Here is a 19,195-nt window from a genome sequence, read left to right as displayed (position 1 = left end):
TGGTAAAGAAGGGCCCATCCTGAGTGATGAATAAGCATGTCAGAGAGGCTAGGGTTGGCCATGCTTCCTCCCTCGTAGAGGATCACCCTGGTAAAAGGGCTCTACTAAAATCAGAAGGTGTGAGCTGAAACCCAACCAGAACCTGTTTTTTCTGAATCTCTACTCAGGGTTTCTGCCATTCCACTATGGCTTCTTCCCCAGGGATAGCAGCCTGAGGTTTCCTGAACTTCAATGTGGAGATAAATAATTTTGGGTTTTTAAAAAGTTGGAAAGAAAAACAAACACAAAAGAATTCCCATTCCTGTCTCCACTTAACTCAGAAGCAAATGTGAGTCCTGTTAGCAGCACTGTAAACCAGTACAACCACTGTGGACAACAGTATGGAGGTTTCTCAGAAAACTAAAAATAGGACTACCATATGATCCAGCAATCCCACTACTAGCCATTTATTTATCCAAAGGAAAAAAAATCAGTATATCCAAGAGATATCTGCACCCTCGTGTTTACTGCATCACTACATCACAATAGCCAAGATATGGAATCAACCCAAGTGTCCAAAACCAGATGAATGGATAAGGAAAATGTGGCATATATACATAATGGAATATTATTCAGCCATAAAAAATGAAATCCTGGCCAGGCACAGTGGCTCATGCCTGTAATCCCAACACTTTGGGTGGCTGAGATGGGCAGATCACCTGAAGTCAGGAGTTCAAGACCAGCCTGGCCAACACAGCAAAACCCCGTCTCTACTAAAACTACAAAAATTAGCCAGGTGTGATGGCGTGTGCCTGTAATCCCAGCTACTCAGGAGGCTGAGGCAGGAGAATCTCTTGAACCCGAGAGGCGGAGGTTGCAGTGAGCCAAGATCATGCCACTGCACTCCAGCCTGGGCAACAGAGCAAGACTCCGTCTCAAAATAAATAAATAAATAAATAAAAATCCTGTCATTTGCAGCAACATGGATGAGCCTGAAGGACATTATGTTAAGTGAAATAAGCCAGGCACAGAAAGTTAAACACCCCGCCAAGCACGGTGGCTCACACCTGTAATCCCCGCACTTTGAGAGGCCAATGTGGGCGGATCACCTGAGGTCAGGAGTTCAAGACCAGCTTGGCCAACATGGCAAAACCCCATCTCTACTAAAAATACAAAAATTAGCTGGGCATGGTGGCACACACCTGTAATCCCAGCTACTCGGGAGGCTGAAGCAGGAGAATCGCTTAAACCTGGGAGGCAGAGGTTGCAGTGAGCCAAGATCATGCCACTGCACTCCAGCCTGGGCAACATAGTGAGACCCTGTCTCACAAAAAGAAATGATAAATGTTTGAGATGGTGAGTATGCTAATTACTCTGATCTGATCACTATATATTGTATATATCAAAACACTGCTATGTACCCCATAAATATGTACAATTTATGTATGCATTTATTATGATGTGTCAGGTTAAAAAAATCAAAATTAGGCTGGGTACAGCAGCTCACACCTGTAAATCCCAACACTTTGGGAGACCAAGGTGGGAGGACAGCTTGAAGCCAGAAGCTAGAGATCATCCTGGGCAATATAGCAAGACCATCTCTATTTAAAAAAAAAAATCAAGTTAAAAAATAATAAAAATTTTAAAATTAAAAATTAGAAAAAAACTAAGTCATGAGGACAAGGCCATTGGTCTATGCTCTCCTGTTTTCTGTGTACGTGTCAGAGGTAGCAGGGAGTAAGGGTAGTAACAGCTGGGGCCTGAAAGTGATAGATAGGATAGAAGTCCTGATCAAAGAAGGTCCCTTTGTTCTCTCTTAGATTAATCAGGGATTCAAGAGTGCAAGATGGGCTGCAGGCCCAGACCCACTGCCACAGAGGGCCCACTGGATGCTCACCCTTAGTAGGCACCCATGGTCTTCTTTTCGGGCCTAGACGCTGCTCTCTCCCTAAAGAGAAGACAGTGGTCTTGTTTGGGAGGAAAGAACCTAAAAATGAAGTTTCCAAAGTTGGCAGAAAATTCCCAGCCAGTCCTTCAGTTTGACAGGAATACAGGAGCTGACCCGGATGGGGTAGCATTTCAAGATGTAGTCCCCAGAAGAGAACTGTTTATATGCCTAGATCCCTGCCTAAGCCAGGCCCTGAGGATCTAGGCACAGCATGAGGTTAAAGACTGTGTCTCAGAAGAACATTAAGGTTTGAAGGAACAATAACAAAATGTCTGCATGTGTGTTTGGGGAAGGAGGAGTGTCATCCTCTCACATGCACTGGCCCTCCCACCTGTTGCCCAAGAACAATAAGCCCACTGTTATTTACTGAGCAATTCAACATAGACGCTTCCCACACCAAGCACTTCACTAAGCACAAACAAACTCATCTCGGTGGTACACTGTCCAAAGCCTTCAACAAACTGGGTTCTCTCTCATGTCTCCAGTTAGCTGGGCTGAGACACAAAAGTAACCAGGCCAGATGCTACCTCTGTCTTGGCACCAGCAGCTGAGAGGTACTTTGGTGTCTGGGCCTGCCAGTTTCAAATAAGCAACCCTCTCTTTGCCTATCATCAGAAGCACCCAGGTGAGCTGTAGCCCAGCTACAGCAAAAGGGATTAGCAATGGTTTCCCCTCACCTACCCCATGTCACTGAACTATAAGATGGCTCTTTCCTGGAGAGAAGTTTGGAAGAGTCAGAGAGAAAAGCAGAGAGTAAGTCAAATAATTACAAGTAACTTGCCTGGAGCATGGACCTCCGAGCTGAGGGGATGAACATTACCATCCCCACTTCATAGATGAGAAAACTGAAGTGCATAGAGGCAGGTGACAGAAGGATGGAAATGAACACTTACTGAATGCCAACAATGTGTCGGCCTCATCACACACAGTCTCACTTAACATCACTGAGGTCACATTTACTCAGCCAACAAGTAGTGGAGGCGGGTCTTCTGGACATTCCTGGAGCTCCTTCCACAACTCCACCCACCTCTCCTGTCATGTTGTCTTCAGACACTGGCTTGGCAACTATTTTGGCTAAGACTCAAACATTCTGGCATAGGAAGCCTGGGCACATCTGGGAAGCACTGCTTGGGAAGGTCCCCTTGTCTCACTGGGGCAGAGGTTGTGAGTCAGCCCAGTTGGGTCTGAGCTCAATGACCTCATTTCCACCTGCCACCTCCCCAGGGGGCCACCCCTGCTGGGCTTTCAGTGGGGCTGCTGGTGTAGAGAAGAAGGCAAGTATAAGTGGGGCAGGGGAGCCAGAAGAAGGATGTGCCCTACCAACGCAATCCCAGAGTTCTAGTATCTTCCTTGGCCAGAGAATAGTCATCACAGCGTCACTCACACTGCCTTCATCAGGTCGGAAGCTAAACTCCATTGTTTAGGCTCCAGTTCCCACCATTTCCTGCTACTAAGAGTGGGGCCAAGGCAGGGCAGGGCAGGTCCTGGTCTGTTTTGCCTCTCTGGATGACAGCACTGTCTCAACTAGCTTTTTTCCATAAGAGGGAAAACAAGGTTTGCTTTGAATCTTTAGCCTAGGGGCCATTCTGCTCCTCCTCCTCTTCCTTCACTGACTAACTCACTTCTCAGCAAGTCAGCCTCTTCCCTGTTGACTTGGAAGTGGTAACTGGTACAGTTATCTGCTAGGACCTCTTCCAGACTCTCAATACAGCCCATAAAACCTGACTGGGGTTAACCTTTCCTATGCCTGTGCCTTTTCCCAGTAGCTTCTAGAAAGGAGAACAACACCCAACCTCACTCACACCTTAATGGGTTAGCAGTATTTCTTCAACCACTCCAACTGCTCCAGAGGGCGTCAGAGACAAGGGTCCCCTTTCATTTGTTTTGACCCAGCCCTGTCATCCGAAGCTCCTCAAGAAGCATTTCAACTGGAAGACAAGGGCACACTGGAAACTGAGAGTTACTCCTCCAATTACCATATGTGTGAGGGTTAGCAATGGAAATATAACCACCTTGTCCCTGTGGGAGCAGAGTTCAGGTCAGAGGTGAAAATTGAAAGAAAAAAATCAGAAACAGTGATGTCACTTTAGCAAGTTAGTTTCTTCGTTAATCCAGCCGTAATTGCATGGCCTTTTGTTCAACCTCAGGCCCAGGTAAACCCCTCTTGTTTTTCTCTCCACACGTGAAAGTCAGGAAGAAAACCATCTGCTTAGTGTCTGAACCTAACTTCAGTTCTTACTTTCAAAATCACCTTAGCCAAACCATACCCCCAGGGCAAATACTCTCCAGCCCCAACTCATCTCTCCTTCTTAGGCACATGGGCTGACACACCAGCTCCTTAGCATGGCCATTCCTCTTTTTACATTTTCTCATTATTTCAACCCATGCATCCTAGAATCTCATATGGCTTCTCCCTTCTGAACTTCAACTTGTCCTCTAAGAAAATAAACAGTCCAGAATCCCAAACTGTCAGACCTGAAAAAGACGTCAGAGATCACTCGATTCGAACCTTGCAACATACAGCTGGGGAAACTGAGGTCCAAAGAAAGGTAGGCACTGGCCCAGAGCCACACAGCTGCTAGGCAGTGTGGGAGGAGGGGCTAAAAACCTGGCTTTTGAGGCTGGGCGCGGTGGCTCACACTTGTAATCCCAGCACTTTGGGAGGCCAAGGTGGGAGGATCACCTGAGGTCAGGAGTTCGAGACCAGCCTGACCAATATGGTGACATCCTGTTTCTCCTAAAAATACAAAAAATTAGCCAGGCATGGTGTTGTGTGCCTGTTGTCCCAGCTACTAGGGCGGCTGAGACAGGAAAATTGCTTGAACCCGGGAAGCGGAGATTGCAGTGAGCCAAGATTGCGCCACTGCACTCCAGCCTGGGTGACGGAGCAAGACTCCATCTCAAAAAAAAAAAAAAAACCTGGCTTTTGATCCACTAGCCTATTTAGTAAGCCATAGTGCCAGCCTGACATTTAGAAAACAGTAGATACTTCAAGCATACTATTATTGATCTAAAAAAAAAACTATGTGGAGGAGGCTGGATCAATTTGTTTCCGTGAAAAACTCCAAGCTGGCACTGCTTGGAAGTTTAGCTTTCAACAGAGGGCAGGCCTAACTTTCAGGATCTGAGACAATCACCACCACCCATTCTAGGGAGACTAAATATTTTATAACACCATGGAAGGAGAACTCAGAGAGCCCTGTTTCCAGAACTGTTTTCTTTGGAAAAACTTGAATAGCAACTGGTTGGGAAGGCCCCCAGTAATAGGCATAGCCAAGACTCAAGCTGGGGATTGAGGAGGGCACAGAGCAGAGAAAGAGGAAGGGAATTTGAGTAATGGGTTCATATCCAGGCAGCCAAGAACAACAGATTCCTTCAACTCCCATAAAACTTCAAAGCTGCTGAAATAAAAGAAGTGCAGACCCATCATTAATAAAGTAAGTCTCCAGATGGGCAAAGCCCCTATCCGGGGCCACACCTAGCTGGGCTTCACTCTTTAGCGTCACTTTCCTGCTTGACCCAGCTTCCTGCCAGCAAGTTTTACAGGAAGTATTTGTAGACTGGAAACTGACCATTTTTGGCTGCCTGAATATGCCAGCTCTGCCCAGGGTGCCAGAAGAGGGCTCTATTCCCTCTGCTTAGGAACAGACTCCAGCAACCTCCAGCATCATACTTCTGAAGCACACTGGAGCTGATCCAAACCCAAACTTGGGTTCCATCTATTGCTCATGGGAATGTTAAAACTGCTGAAGCCAGGATTAGTCAAATATGCAGTTGCAGGGGGACGCTTCTGGCCCTAATCAAAAAGCTCTGTTTCCAGCTGAGCGTGGTGGCTCATGCCTGTAATCCCAGCACTTTGGGAGGGTGAGGCAAGCAGACCGCTTGAGCCCAGTTAAAGACCAGCCTGGGCAAAATGGCGAAATTCTGTCTCTACAAAAAGTACAAAAATTAGCTGGGCATGGTGGCGCACGCCTGTAGTCCCAGCTACTAATACTTACTTAGGAGGCTGAGGCATGAGAATCGCTTGCTTCAACACAGGAGGCAGAGGTTGCAGTGAGCCAAAATCTTGCCACTGCACTCTATCCTGTGCAACAGAGAGAGATCCTGTCAAAAAAAAACAAAAAACAAAAAACCTCTGTTTTCAACCCCAGGGGTAGGCTAAGGTTGGCTTCCTACCTACCTTGCTGGTAAGCTAAGAACCAAATCTAGTATCTGGGAAACCCACAGAAAACCCAGGAGCCCTTGTCCTGGAAATAATGGTCTCAGCATTTTGAGCTTTGGAGCCTTTTTGACCTTCCTCTTTCTAAAATTCAGTTTCCTAATCTATAAAACGGGTCTAATAATATCGACCTCAGTACAGGGTTATTGGGAGATTTAAGTTAACATAACAGACATGTTTGACACTGGAGGAAGAAAATAATTGAACAGTAATAAAAATAAAAATAATAATAATAATAGACATGAAAGTACTTGACACATCATAAGTAGAATGTGATGATTACTAATCCCTCCCCTTTTAGCCATATTATGACGAATATCCTACCTGTCAGGAATAATTTAAAACAAAAACCTGTTTCACTACAGAGGGCTAGGGGCTGCCCAAGAAGACCTCTAAAGAGCCCTTCTAGCATAAAGGACTCTCACTTTCAGGGAAAACTAAAAGGTGATTACATTTCTAGTTGGCAAGACAATGTGAAACCATGCACAACAGTTAAATACACATGTATTCCAGCATTATTTTAAATATTTTATCTCTTGAGAGAGATGGGGATTTCCTCCCCAAGAAGCAGAATCCTATGGAAAGGCAGAGCACAACACAGCACCTATGCTGCCTTATTATTTTCAAAGGCTGCCTGATCTTCCTTCCTTATTCTGGACTCTGCCTTGCCATTTTCTCCAGTTATGTCCCATTAACACACACAAGTCTGCAACCCTCAACACAACCCACTGGGACCTCCAAACTCCCTCAGATGGTATCCAGAAGATCACAAACTGTTTTTGTTTTGTTTTGTTTTGTTTTGTTTTAGACAGAGTCTCACTCTGTCACCCAGGCTGGAGTGCAATGGCGTGATCTTGGCTCACTGCAACCCCCGTCTCCCGGGTTCAAGCAATTCCCCTGCTTCAGCCTCCCAAGTAGCTGCAATTACAGGCACCCACCACTATGTCTGGCTAATTTTTGTATTTTTAGTAGAGAAGGGGTTTCACCCTGTTGTCCAGGCTGGTCTTGAACTCCTGGCCTTAAGTGATTCGACCGCCTTTGCCTCCCAAAGTGCTGCGATTACAGGCGTGAGCCACCACGCCTGGCCTGGGATGGTGTTAATATGACTAGAGGGATGTCTGATAGAAGGGAAACACAGCAAGTAAAGAGCAACTGAAAGGCCGGGTGCGGTGGCTCACGCCTGTAATCCCAACACTTTGGGAGGCCAAGGCGGGCAGATCACTTGAGGCCAGGAGTTCAAGACCAGCCTGGCCAACATGGTGAAACCCCGTCTCTACTAAAAATACAAAAATTAGCCAGGTGTAGCGGTGCATTCTTGTAGTCCCAGCTACTTGGGAGGCTGAGGAAGGAGAATCGCTTGAACCCGGGAGGCAGAGGTTGCAGTGAGCCGAGATTGCACCACTGTCCTGCAGCATGGGCGACAGGCGACAGAGGAAGACTCCGTCTCAAAAAAAAAAAAAAAAGCCAATTGAATACGGTCCACATCCACAAAAGATCAAGGATGCAAGGATGCAGTCAGTTCTGCTACTGCCCTCAAATCCCTCTGCACCTTGGCCTCCCTATTTGTAAAGTAGTGCAGGGATTATCCCTGCTCCTCCCTACCTAAAATCATCACTACACACCATCACATACACCACTGTGCACTAAAGTAATGTCTCTGTAGTAAGAGGAACATAGCTTTGTATTCTGAAAACCTGATCTCAAGATCCAGGTCTACCAATAATAAACCATGAACTCTTAAATTTCAACTTGTAACGTGGGCATAATGATGCCACCATGGCAGGAGTGTTGTGCAGTGCTTAATGAGGTATATCCCAAACTTAGCTTACCATAAGAATTTGGCACTGGTCAAAAAGTCCAGACTTCTGGACACCACCCCAAGCTTACTGAAATGGACTCTCCAGAGAAGACGCTGGGGAATTAGCATTTTAACAAATGCCTCAGGTGATTCTTTCCATCTGAAAAGTTCAAAGAAACAACACATGGCCTTGATGCTGTTGAAATGAGAGAACAGGACCAGGGATCTCTGGTCATCCAAAATGCTTTCTGGCCCAGAGATCCCCATGACAGGAACCTTGAGGTTAGCACCCAGCAAAGTAAGGTCTGCAGGCAGGAAGAGGAGGAGACTTTGAAATTACAATCAGAACGCTAAGTGCACCAGACCCTCAGACCATTGTCCAGGATCTTCAACCATCCTCCCATCTAGCTAAGAATCAAACAGTGGGAGAAAACAGACAGTTCAGATACTTCAGCAGCCAAAGCATGATGATCACAATGCTATAATTAGGGCCCCACTCAAAGCCCTCTTGAGTTCTCTGCGTCTTAAACACTCCACATTCACTCTTTCCTGGAAGAACTTTCAGGCAAGGAGCAGACCTTAAATGAAGCTCTCTCTTTCCTTGATGCTCTTGGAACTTGAGGAAAAGAAGAGGCATGGTTGAGAGGATGCTGCATTTGCATACAGATGTGAGTATGTTGGAGGGTGAGGGTAGGAGTCTAAAATAGGTGTGACTAGCAATGGTGCACTAGAACCAGCTTGCACTAGAGCTGATCATGCACATCTCTTCCCAACTCCTCCATCAAGGACTGCATATTGGTAACCTGAAATCAGCCATGGTGGGAGTATTTATACCATGGGAATTGGCAAACAGTAAAAATCATGGATTTGCCGAAGAGTTGATTGTTAAACATTTACCAGCACACTGGACAAGAGACACATGCAAGTTAAGCATTATTAAACCCATTTTATGAATGAGGAAACTGAGTCTCAAAGAAAGGAACCAACTGCTATTTTCTAGCTGCATGACCTTGACCAAGAGCCAAGTCTGTCTGGCTAGCTATAAATCCCTGGCTCTCCTTACCAGCACCCCAGGGTAGCAGGACATCCTTACTATCAGCCAAAAGGTGGCTGACCCAAAGGGCTCCCCATCAGCTAAAGGCCAAACAAGGGCACCTAATTGTGCCCAGTGCACTCCAAGGAAATCTGAGGATAAAGAGTTCAGGACTGAGACATGAAGCCAACAAGAGACAGTCTCATCCCCACCAGAGGAGAGAGGCTGGAGTGAGGCAGGGAGTGGGCTAGAAAACCCCAATAGAAACCATAGGACATTCTTAAGATCTCTTCACAAATACCTGACAGAAACCCTGGGCTCTAGAGGTAGTCTCTGGAACATTACAAGTCCCTAGACCTCTTAAAGCCTCAGTTTTCCTACAGGTAAAATGGGAGTAATAATGCCTACCTCACCGGAGTGTTGCAAGGCTGACATTTTATCCTTTACAAACAGAAAAGCACCTGGCTTGGTACCTGGCATGTAGTAGATGTTTCATAAATTTTAGTTCCTTTCTCCTGCAATGCCATTATCCAACCCAGATTCTTCCAGGGTCTCTGGCTCACTTGTATACAACAATAATCCTAGCCCCATGCGCACAGTGCTCTACAATTTAAAAGATACTTGCCCATATGCATTCTCTCACTGAATTAAACCCTGTAAGAAAAAGACAAGCCCGAGACAAGTACCATTTTAAAGAAGGGAGAAATGGAGGTTCAGTAAGGTAAAAAGCAACATGCTCAAGTGTGAAAGAAATAGAACTAGAACCCTGATCTCCCCAACTACTAGTATTCTGTTCTTTACCTTTCCAAGTTTATCTTATTTAAGGCTACACAAAGGTCCTTCCAAAGGCTTGCCTATTATCATTTGTCTTTTTTTTTTTTTTTTTTTTTTGAAACAGATTCTCGCTCTGTTGCCCAGGCTGGAGTGCAGTGGCACCATCTCGGCTCACTGCAAGCTCCGCCTCCTGGGTTCACGCCATTCTCCTGCCTCAGCCTTCCGAGTAGCTGGGACTACAGGCGCCCACCACCACACCCAGCTATTTTTTTTTATTTTTAGTAGAGACGGTGTTTCACTGTGTTAGCCAGGATGGTCTCGATCTCCCGACCTCGTGATCCACCCGCCTCGGCCTCCCAAAGTGCTGGGATTACAGGCGTGAGCCACCGCTCCTGGCTTATCATTTGTTTCATCCAAGAAATTGAGCAGCCTCTGGACTTCAGGTCTGTCTTAGGATGCTACAAAAGAGGCTGTCTTTGGGAAAGGAGAATAGCATTGGTAACACAGGGTGGGAACAGCCCTTGTGGTAGAAGGAGCCACATCTTTAGCTCGGAGCAACCAGCCATGAATGGTGGTTCAGAGATTGGGTCTCTGAGTCCAATCCCAGTAAACTTCGGATATTTACTTCCCCCTGTAGGTCTGAGTGTTCCCAACTGTAATGGCTGGGTTTTGCTCAGTGGTTTTGACTTTATTACATTTCTAACAGCTTCCTGCCTCCTCAATCTCCCAAACAGAAAATCACACAAAACTTCAAAATATGAAGTACGTAAAAGTAGAGCTGTTCTGGTTGAAGGGAGGCTGTAGCTCACCAGGTAGCCCAGCCAAACAGTTTGTAACCCACTGGATTAGCAGCTTGACGGGAGGGAGAGAGCCCTAGGTCTGACCTTCTAGAATTCTACTCATCCTAGCTTTGCCACTGATTCCTTATAGGACTTATATGACTTTCTGGGCTTCAGTTTCCCCATCTGTAATGTGAAGTGGTTGGTCTAGTTGGCCTCTAAAGGTCCTTTCAGCATTGCGATTTCAGGAAAAAAGTGTCCAGCTATTCCCACAGTAGAAAACTGTGGAGAGAGACCAGCATGAGCAAAGGTCAATCTCTACTCTGAAGAAAGCCCTTCAGGCTCTGGTGACTCTGAACTGAACTCTTCAGGCAATTCCTCAAGCACTGGGTGGGTGGGCAGACAGGCAGGAAGGCCGGCGCCCCACCCTCTTTTGCACAGGAAGCTAGCTACATCCTCTTTTCCCCACCCCAGGCAGAACATCACCACAGGTCCCCAGCAGAAGCAGTGGGGGGCAGGGAGAAGAGAAGGATGGGGCCTGAAAGGAAGTTGAACATGCAAATCACCTCAGCTAAGGAGCCATTTGTGGGGAGGGAAACAACTGGGGCCCTGAGAAAGAGCAGCAAAGCTGCCCATTATCTACTGGGGCCCAGCTCCCCAATAAAGCTTAGCAAAAGTGGCCTGAAGCCACAGGCTGTCATAAAGAATCACAAGGCATGGGTTGGTACAGTGAGCAGCCTGGGCCCACTCACTCCACCTCACTGAGTTTCTGCAAGCCAAACAGCTGGGGCTCTTACACAAGGTGTTTCTCAGGTACAGTCTTTCTTAGGGTAAGAACACAGACATGCCATGTGCGAGGGTGGGGTGTACACATGAGTGAACAATCAAGAATACAGGAGCTCTTCATGCCTCTCAAAGCCAAGAAGGCAAGCACTAATCCTCATGGCCTTACCACCAGCCCATTTTCCGGTGCCCACCCCCATACCCTGTGACTGGGGCCCAGCCCTCCCCACATCCTGTTCTCAGAGAACACGCGGCTGCCTAAGGAAAGATAATGTCATTACCATACCTCCCCTCCATAGAGGAGGCTTTGGTTGACTGGGGAGGGAGCTGCAGTTTTCTGTCTGACCAGACTGAATAATCTACAGTAAATCTCCCAGTTTCACAGAATGGAACAGGAAGGGTAACTAGGTAACACTAGGAGCAACTTCTAAATTGGAGGATCCATGCCTACAGATAGATGATCATGATTCAAAGCACTTCTGGAAAAAGAAATTTTCTGGAAAAACACAAATTGACAATTTAACTTACATTTGGAGACTGGAAGATGACATGCCAATGTTCTTCCTTGATTAACAAACCAGGAAATGCAAAAATACAATAAAATTACAGTTTTAAAAAGGTCCCAAATGTCAATCAAGTCTCACTACACATGGGTTTTAGATGCCAGCATTGGTATTTCTGCTAAAGCACCCTGATTTAAATGTGCCTACAGTGGCTTTGGCCACTTTGAAAAAGAAAATGATCTCAGGCCATAGGAAGGTCCCCTGACAAACTCAAAGAGGAAGGGGCAGTGAGGAGGAACCACAGCCTGAACCTACCCATTGTTGAAACTTCCTTCTCTCCTCTCTAAACAGCTCGGACTCCCTGGCTCCCCCTTGTCTTCCCTCCCCACCCTATAAATATAGCAAAGAATGTGGCTGAACATCCATCTGAATATTCAGGGAGAGCCTCCTTACTCACGTAAGAAGTTGGAAGGCAGATGTCATTCCACAGCACTGCCTCACTACTGTGCAGACCTTCAATGTGGCATGATCCTTGGTTGGGCTTGTATGGGGGACTTTGGCTGGCTACCCCTAAGCAGGATGTCCCCAACCCCCCACCCAGCCTGCTGTTCCCCTAGGCTAATCTTACAGCCTAATCCAATTCTCATCCCCATTAGGGAACAAGGTTTATCACGTAGGCCTTAAGAAAAAATTTTTTGAGAGTAGTCTCAAAAATACCTACCTCCAGTGGATGTGCTGAAGGTTGAAAGGTGGCCTCATAACCTGCTGCAAGTGTATTTGTTTACAGCCATTAGCTCACAGCCTTCATTTTTGTATGACCGCCTTCCTGGAAGCAGAGGTTCAGAGAGCCCAAAGAATGCTCTTGGGCTGTATGGATCTATGATTGTTTTGGAAGAGTCTCTTGGTGGCAAGGATAAGATAAGAGACCACATGGCATCCAGCTTATTAGTTTTGGTCCCTATGTAGCTTGAGGTAACTTCTCTAAAAGCTGGCTTTGTTTTTTCGAGTTGATAAAGCCACATCTTTCCCTCCAAACCACAAGCTCAGCTAACAATTTACTGAGACTAGTAAAAACTATTTAACCTATCCTGCAATAATACAAGGGTTTTTAGCACCCCTACCACCACAAACATATAACCTTCACACCCCTCAATGCTGAGGTGAGCGAGCATGAACCTATCTAGCCCCCCACACACATATTCATATCAGTTCTTTGGAGAGAATAAGAATCCTACCCCCAGCCCCGAATGTTTGGTCTAGTTTTTTCAGACAACAGTAAAGAGGCCAACCAGAATCTCTATGGAAATTACCCAGAAGCCTCCCTAATGGTCAAGGCAACATACATTGTTCCATAATCCAAAGCAAACCCTAAAAATCTACTATTCTAGCAAGATCTGGAAAAACAAGTAAGGCTACCTCTTACCTACCTCAGGTGTTTCAGAAAGAACCCACATCATTGACACAGACATATGTATACACATACAGGTTCTACATACCACCACTTTATCAGACACCCAATATGGATCGGATCAGGCTTTGAAATAATTCGTGTGTGTGTGTGTGTGTGTGTGTGTGAATGAGCAAGCACGTGAGGGCATTTTTTTGTCAGATGGAGGAAATATGCAGATAAATGGATGAGAAATTACCATTCTATACAGCAAGGGCAGAGATAGAGGTAATTAAAGTGGACTGTGGAAACACAAGCAAGAGGCATCCAGGCCATAATGGGGAAGGTGAGGAGACAAGGGGAGGTGAGAAGGCAGAAGGTTGCTTGAGATAGAGCTGACCTCTCCTGAAGGACAAAGGAGACTGTCACAAGAAAAAGATTAAAGGGAAAAGGAACCTCATGGTATTCTGGGTAGAGAGACAGCATGTACAGGGATACAGAGGTAAGAAACACAAAGTATGCCTTTCTCTCAAAGGCATGAAGTTAAATATCAGTGTCTCCTTTCCCAGCTTCCTGACCCTCTTCCCAGAATTTATCAGAAGAAAATGAATTAAAGATCTTCCCACCACTTTGGCATTAGGTGCCAGCTCATAGATTTGGGGGAGATGGGCCACAATCAGAGACAGAAATCCCTGAAGACAAAGCCAGGCAAGATAGACTAATGTATAAAATAAAGATAAGAAGCTGATTATGTTCCCACAGCCCCACTGAGGCACCAGCTTAGCTTAATGAGCACTCCCCACCCTAGCTCACACAGACCTCAGAGGAATCACTCTTCAGGACTTGAGGGAGCCCATGACAACATACTTTCTTTCTTTGTTTTTTTTTTTTTTTTTTTTTTTTTTTGAGACAGAGTTTTGTCTTGTAGCCCAGCCTGGAGTGCAATGGCACGATCTCATGATCTCGGCTAACTGCAACTTCCACCTCCCAGGTTCAAGCTATTCTCATGCCTCAGCAACCCAAGTAGCTGGGATCACAGGCATGTGCCACCACGCATGGCTAATTTTGTATTTTTAGTAGAGACGGGGTTTCACCATGTTGATCAGGCTGGTCTCGAACTCCTGACCTCAGGTTATCCACCCACCTCAGCCTCCCAAAGTGCTGGGATTACAGGCGTGAGCCAACACGCCCGGCCCGACAACATACTTTCAATACACATGGATAACCTGCCTACCTACAGATAGACCTGGAAAGGCAACCAAACTAAGATCCCTCTGCATCTATACTCCACCACCACCACCACCACACACACACACACACACACACACACACGCAGACACACACACACACAAAGAAGAAGTGAAAGCTACCAGCATAACAAGGGCCTGAGGTGGGCCCCAGCCAAGGCTGCCTGGCTTCTGCAAAGGGGTGGAGATCCATTGATTTCACAAACTGTTTTGCCTTCTTAAGTAAGGATTCCTCTAATCATTTTCTCCTTCCTACATCCTCCATTCTTCACACCCCATAACCATCCTTTCTACCCTGGGTCTCATGTCCCTCTTCTCCTTTTCTACTACTCCCTCATCCTGGGACTTTTAAGGCTTCCCAGAGCTGGAGTTCCTCTTTACAAAGTGATAGATACACCCACATGGATTCTCAGACAACCGTTCCCTCCAACAGATTGCAGCAGAAGGCACGATGGGTTTCACCACAAACTAGGCCAGTCATTGGCATCACTGTTTGAAGTATCAGTTTCCTCATCTATTAAAACAAAACCGTAAAGAGTGCCGGGCGTGGTGGCTCACGCCTGTAATCCCAGCACTTTTGGAGGCTGAGGCGGGTGGATTACTTGAGGCCAGGAGTTCCAGAACTAGCCTGGACAACATGGTGAAACCCCATCTCTACTAAAATACAAAAATTAGCCGGGCGTGGTGGTGCATGCCTCTAGTCCCAGCTCCTCGGGAGGCTGAGACAGGGAATCGCTGGAACCTGGGAGGCAAAGGCTGCAGTGAGCGGAGATCGTGCCACTGCATTCCAGCCTGGGCGACAGACAGAGACTCCGTCTCAAAAAAAAAAAAAAATCTTAAAGAGATAATGTAGTATAGGAGGCACACTCACAAATTAAAAGCAGACTTCAGGGTTCTAAAATTATTTGATCTCAAATCCTTAAAGAGGGCAAAGTATGATGGAAAAGACTTAGGGAACTCAGCCATTTATCAAGCACTTTCAATATGCCAGGTACTCTCCTAGATATACTCATACTCTTGAGCTCTTTTAACTCTCATAAATCTCAGTGAAGTAGGTATCAGTACTATCCTCCGTTTTGTTTTTTTTTTTTGTTTTTTGTTTGTGTGTTTGTTTGAGATGGAGTCTTGCTCTGTCACCCAGGCTGTAGTGCAGTGGTGCGATCTTGGCTCACTGCAACCTCCGCCTCCTGGGTTCAAGCGATTCTCCTGCCTCAGCCTCCCGAATAGCTGGGAATACAGGCACATGCCACCATGCCCGGCTAATTTTTTGTATTTTTAGTAGAGACGGGGTTTCACCGTGTTAGCCAGGATGGTCTGGATCTCCTGACCTCGTGATCTGCCCGCCTCGGCCTCCCAAAGTGCTGGGATTACAGGCGTGAGCCACTGCGCCCGGCCCACTATCCTCCATTTTAAAGATGGGGAAACTAAGGTTGAGAGACATTAAATACATTACCCAAAGTCATGCAGCAATAAATAATGGTTAAAATGATTCTAATATTTGGTCTGTCATTTATCTTATAACTACCACCCTCCTTTCTCTTGAATCAACTTGAGCAATGTTGATGAGACTCTAGGCCCCCCAAAAAAATCGCAGGAAGACCTGAGGCAACTCTACTTAGGATGCTCACCATTAATTATCACCTGAAAACCATTTAAGCCAACCTCACTCATTGACTACTCATAAATATTCTTTAGTCCCTAAAGGGAAATTTATAGCACTAAATGCCCACAAGAGAAAGCAGGAAAGATCTAAAATTGACACCCTAACATCACAATTAAAAGAACTAGAGAAGCAAGAGCAAACACATCAAAAGCTAGCAGAAGGCAAGAAATAACTAAGATCAGTGCAGAACTGAAGGAGATAGAGACACAAAAAACCCTTCAAAAAATCAATGAACCCAGGAGCTGATTTTTTGAAAAGTACAATTTTAATTCTAACCCTAGGTGACCACAGACCCCATGTATACATGGAAGGAGACACAATGGTTTGGTTAGTTAGTAACCAACATGGAAGGTATTTATGATTGGCTACAAGAAGCAGGATTCAAAGGCCTGCAGTGTGTCTGGATCAGGAAAGAGGTGACTATAAAGAAGCCATGAGTATATAAGAAATAGGTATACAATAAATTGGCAGTCTAAAGCACAGACTAGCAGAGATTGGCAAACTGTCTCTGTAAGCCACTTATAGTCTTGGTTACATATTCTTTTTTCTTTTTTAAAAAAACAACGCTGGCCGAGGTGGGAGGATCACCTGAGGCCAGGAGTTCGAGACCAGCCTAGCCAATATGGCGAAACCTCGTATCTACTAAAAATACAAAAATTAGCTAGGAGTGGTGGTGGGCGCCTGTAATCCCAGCTATTCAGGAGGCTGAGGCAGGAGAATCGCTTGAACCTGGGAGGCAGAAGTTGCAGTGAGCCGAGATCATGCCACTGCACTCCAGCCTGGGCAACAAGAGCAAAACTCCGTCTGAAAACAAAACAAAACAAACAAAAACCAACAAACAAACAAAAAATGTTTTTAAAATGGTAAAACTTATTTTTATGATACATACAAAAACTGGTCCAACAGGCAAGTTCACCAATTCCTAGACTTAACCAAATACTGATAACTCCACTGACTATCTGCAAGGCCTCAAACCTGGATAAATATCTCTTTTCACATTCTACTTTCCAAAAAAGATGGACAGCAAAGGTTTTATCTGAAAGTTAGCCAAAGATAACTGGCCCACATACCAATTGATCATACATAGCAGCCTACTCCCTTCCTATGCAAAGGCACTGGCAGAAAAAATAGATAATAAGCTTAGACCACTAACCATCTTCCACAAAAGCTCATTCCATTCTCATACTAGGAAGGCCCTGGGCCAAGCTGATCCCCACAATAGGAGGCCCCAGGCCAGGGGCTGAGCCATAAAGTACCTGACTCCCAGGCCTCTGGCTCAAATCCCTGACCTTAGAGAGCAACAGGCATGCATGAAGAAGAAAGAAGCAAGAAGGGGATCCCTCCCAGCTGGCCAATTAAGGGCTCAAGAAGCAAAGGAACATGTGTGCCTTGCTTCTCTCCCTATTCCCTCAGAAAAGGTTTGGAGAATAAAAGGAAATCAAGCTAAGGATGCCAAACTCAATGGGAGTGAGAGGCTAAGAATGAAAGAAGGCCACCACAGAGCTCCACGGCTAATGACCTCCATTAGTGGCCAACACTACACTAAGGCCTTTCTCCTCTGGACTAAGTCTAGGATGTTCATGATCTGCTTGGCCCTTCTCTCAAAAGTGGTGGGAAGAAACAACCATTCAGGAGTGCCTACCTTCTAACCTCCCACCCTGGCTCTTCACAATTGTTCCTCCTCTAGAAAAAGAAAAGAGCCGGGAACAGTGGCTCACGCCTGTAATCCCAACACTTTGGGAGGCTGAGGTGGGTGGATTACCTAAGGCCAGGTGTTCAAGACCAGCCTGGCCAACATGGTGAAACCCCATCTCTACTAAAAATACAAAAAATTAACCAGGCGTGGAGGCGGGCACCTGGAATCCCAGCTACTCGGGAGGCTGAGGCAGCATAATCACTTGAACCCAGGAGGCGAAAGTTGCAGTAAGTCGAGATTGCACCATTGCACTCCAGCCTGGGCAACAAGAGCAAAACTCCATCTCAAAAAAAAAGGAAAAGAAACAAAAAGAAATAAAAAACATCTACATGTGAAAGTATATACACCTGAAAAGTTAACTACTGCTAAGAATTATAGGTGGATTTCTGGATCCAAGAGGTGCCAGACAGCCAACTGTGGATGCAGCCCTTCCTTTCCTCCCCTGTTAGCTTCCATAGTCTTCAGCCAGGAGATAGGGGGCTTCTGGGGAATCTAATCTGACTCAAGGGAGAGGATAAGACAAAAAATGCCCTTAAACCAATTCAGCAGCTATTGAACCCCTGCAAAGTGTGGGGTATTTTACTCTGCACTGGGAATACAGAGACTATGCCAAGTACTACTTCAAGGGGTTCCCCACCTAGTAGGAAAAAGACATAATTCTTGGACCCCAGAGAATGAAGTGTGTACTATATCCACCCTAAAGCTCCCAGTTACCTTTCTCTCCTAAGAAAAGTTCCTTTTGATACTGGCGAGAGAAAAGAAACCCAAAGTGTCCTACTCATGCTGCTTGCTTCTCTCCATTAAGCACCTTCCCATGCCCCTAGGAAGGACTTGGAACAAAGCCCCCTTTCCTACCATAGAAGGAGCTTATTCTCTACTCGGGATACTACATGTAAAACAGTGGAAAAATAATCAAAGACCACACTGTGATACAGTGTGCCCCAATATGCGCGAGAGCTTGATCCACTCTGAAAGGATAGTAGCAGTAGGGGCTGGGGCCAAGGAGAGGCTGCTCTATGGCTGGGCTCACTCCCTAATCAAGCGTAAAGGCCATCCAGCTGAAGCAGGAAGCAGAGAACAAGCAGTCCTCAGTTCCCAGGCACAAGACACACGTCTTGGACACTGAGACAGGGCTCCAGCCCTGCAAGTCCACATGGATCTGAGGAGTGAAGTCACCAGGTCCTTGAGCTCACCAGCTCCCTATAATGTTCCCACTAACTGAATGTCTTGATGCCCACAGCATTACTCACCTCCTATCCTGTTCTATCCTTCCCCTTTCCCCCAACCACTGGTCTGCTCACGCCCAGACGGTGAACTCACTCTCTAAAAAGGGCTGCTCACCTCCCTTGGGTGCAATTAGTTAACCCCACCCCTTCCTCCAGCACT

The 19,195-nt window shown here is 46.0% G+C and overlaps 1 protein-coding gene across 6 annotated transcripts in view, besides 3 other annotated features; it reads right to left on the bottom strand.

Annotated features, from left to right (window-relative positions):
- Positions 1 to 19,195, bottom strand: part of MSN (moesin) — a 153,555-nt gene that overhangs the window by 32,315 nt on the left and 102,045 nt on the right. The window contains exons 1-2 of one of the 6 annotated variants that reach the window (XM_047442131.1): positions 12,538 to 12,689; positions 7,976 to 11,877 (exon numbers count right to left, since the gene is read on the bottom strand). The exons of 3 other annotated variants lie outside the window; for them this stretch is intronic. In XM_047442131.1, the coding sequence (XP_047298087.1) occupies positions 7,976 to 7,978 (3 nt within the window). In that variant the 5' untranslated portion in view covers positions 7,979 to 11,877; positions 12,538 to 12,689. Of the gene's footprint in view, positions 1 to 7,975; positions 12,690 to 19,195 lie in introns of those variants that run through there. 2 more of the 6 variants (XM_047442130.1, XM_047442129.1) reach the window with 2 other exon arrangements.
- Positions 2,972 to 3,031: an enhancer, noted in NCBI's record as "active region_29716". NCBI's record gives its function as "activates an Ori minimal core promoter by ATAC-STARR-seq in GM12878 lymphoblastoid cells {active_cell/tissue: GM12878}" and the evidence as "EXISTENCE:reporter gene assay evidence [ECO:0000049][PMID:35858748]".
- Positions 5,290 to 5,462: a silencer, noted in NCBI's record as "fragment chrX:64924017-64924189 (GRCh37/hg19 assembly coordinates)". NCBI's record gives its function as "represses an EF-1alpha promoter that drives an FKBP-Casp9 reporter gene in an ReSE screen in K562 erythroleukemia cells {active_cell/tissue: K562}" and the evidence as "EXISTENCE:reporter gene assay evidence [ECO:0000049][PMID:32094911]".
- Positions 10,989 to 11,218: an enhancer, noted in NCBI's record as "active region_29715". NCBI's record gives its function as "activates an Ori minimal core promoter by ATAC-STARR-seq in GM12878 lymphoblastoid cells {active_cell/tissue: GM12878}" and the evidence as "EXISTENCE:reporter gene assay evidence [ECO:0000049][PMID:35858748]".

This window comes from Homo sapiens, chromosome X, assembly GCF_000001405.40.
Source record: "Homo sapiens chromosome X, GRCh38.p14 Primary Assembly".
NCBI lineage: Eukaryota > Metazoa > Chordata > Mammalia > Primates > Hominidae > Homo > Homo sapiens.
Note: the sequence above shows the minus strand (reverse complement) of the source record. Positions and strands in the feature narration are given on the sequence as shown.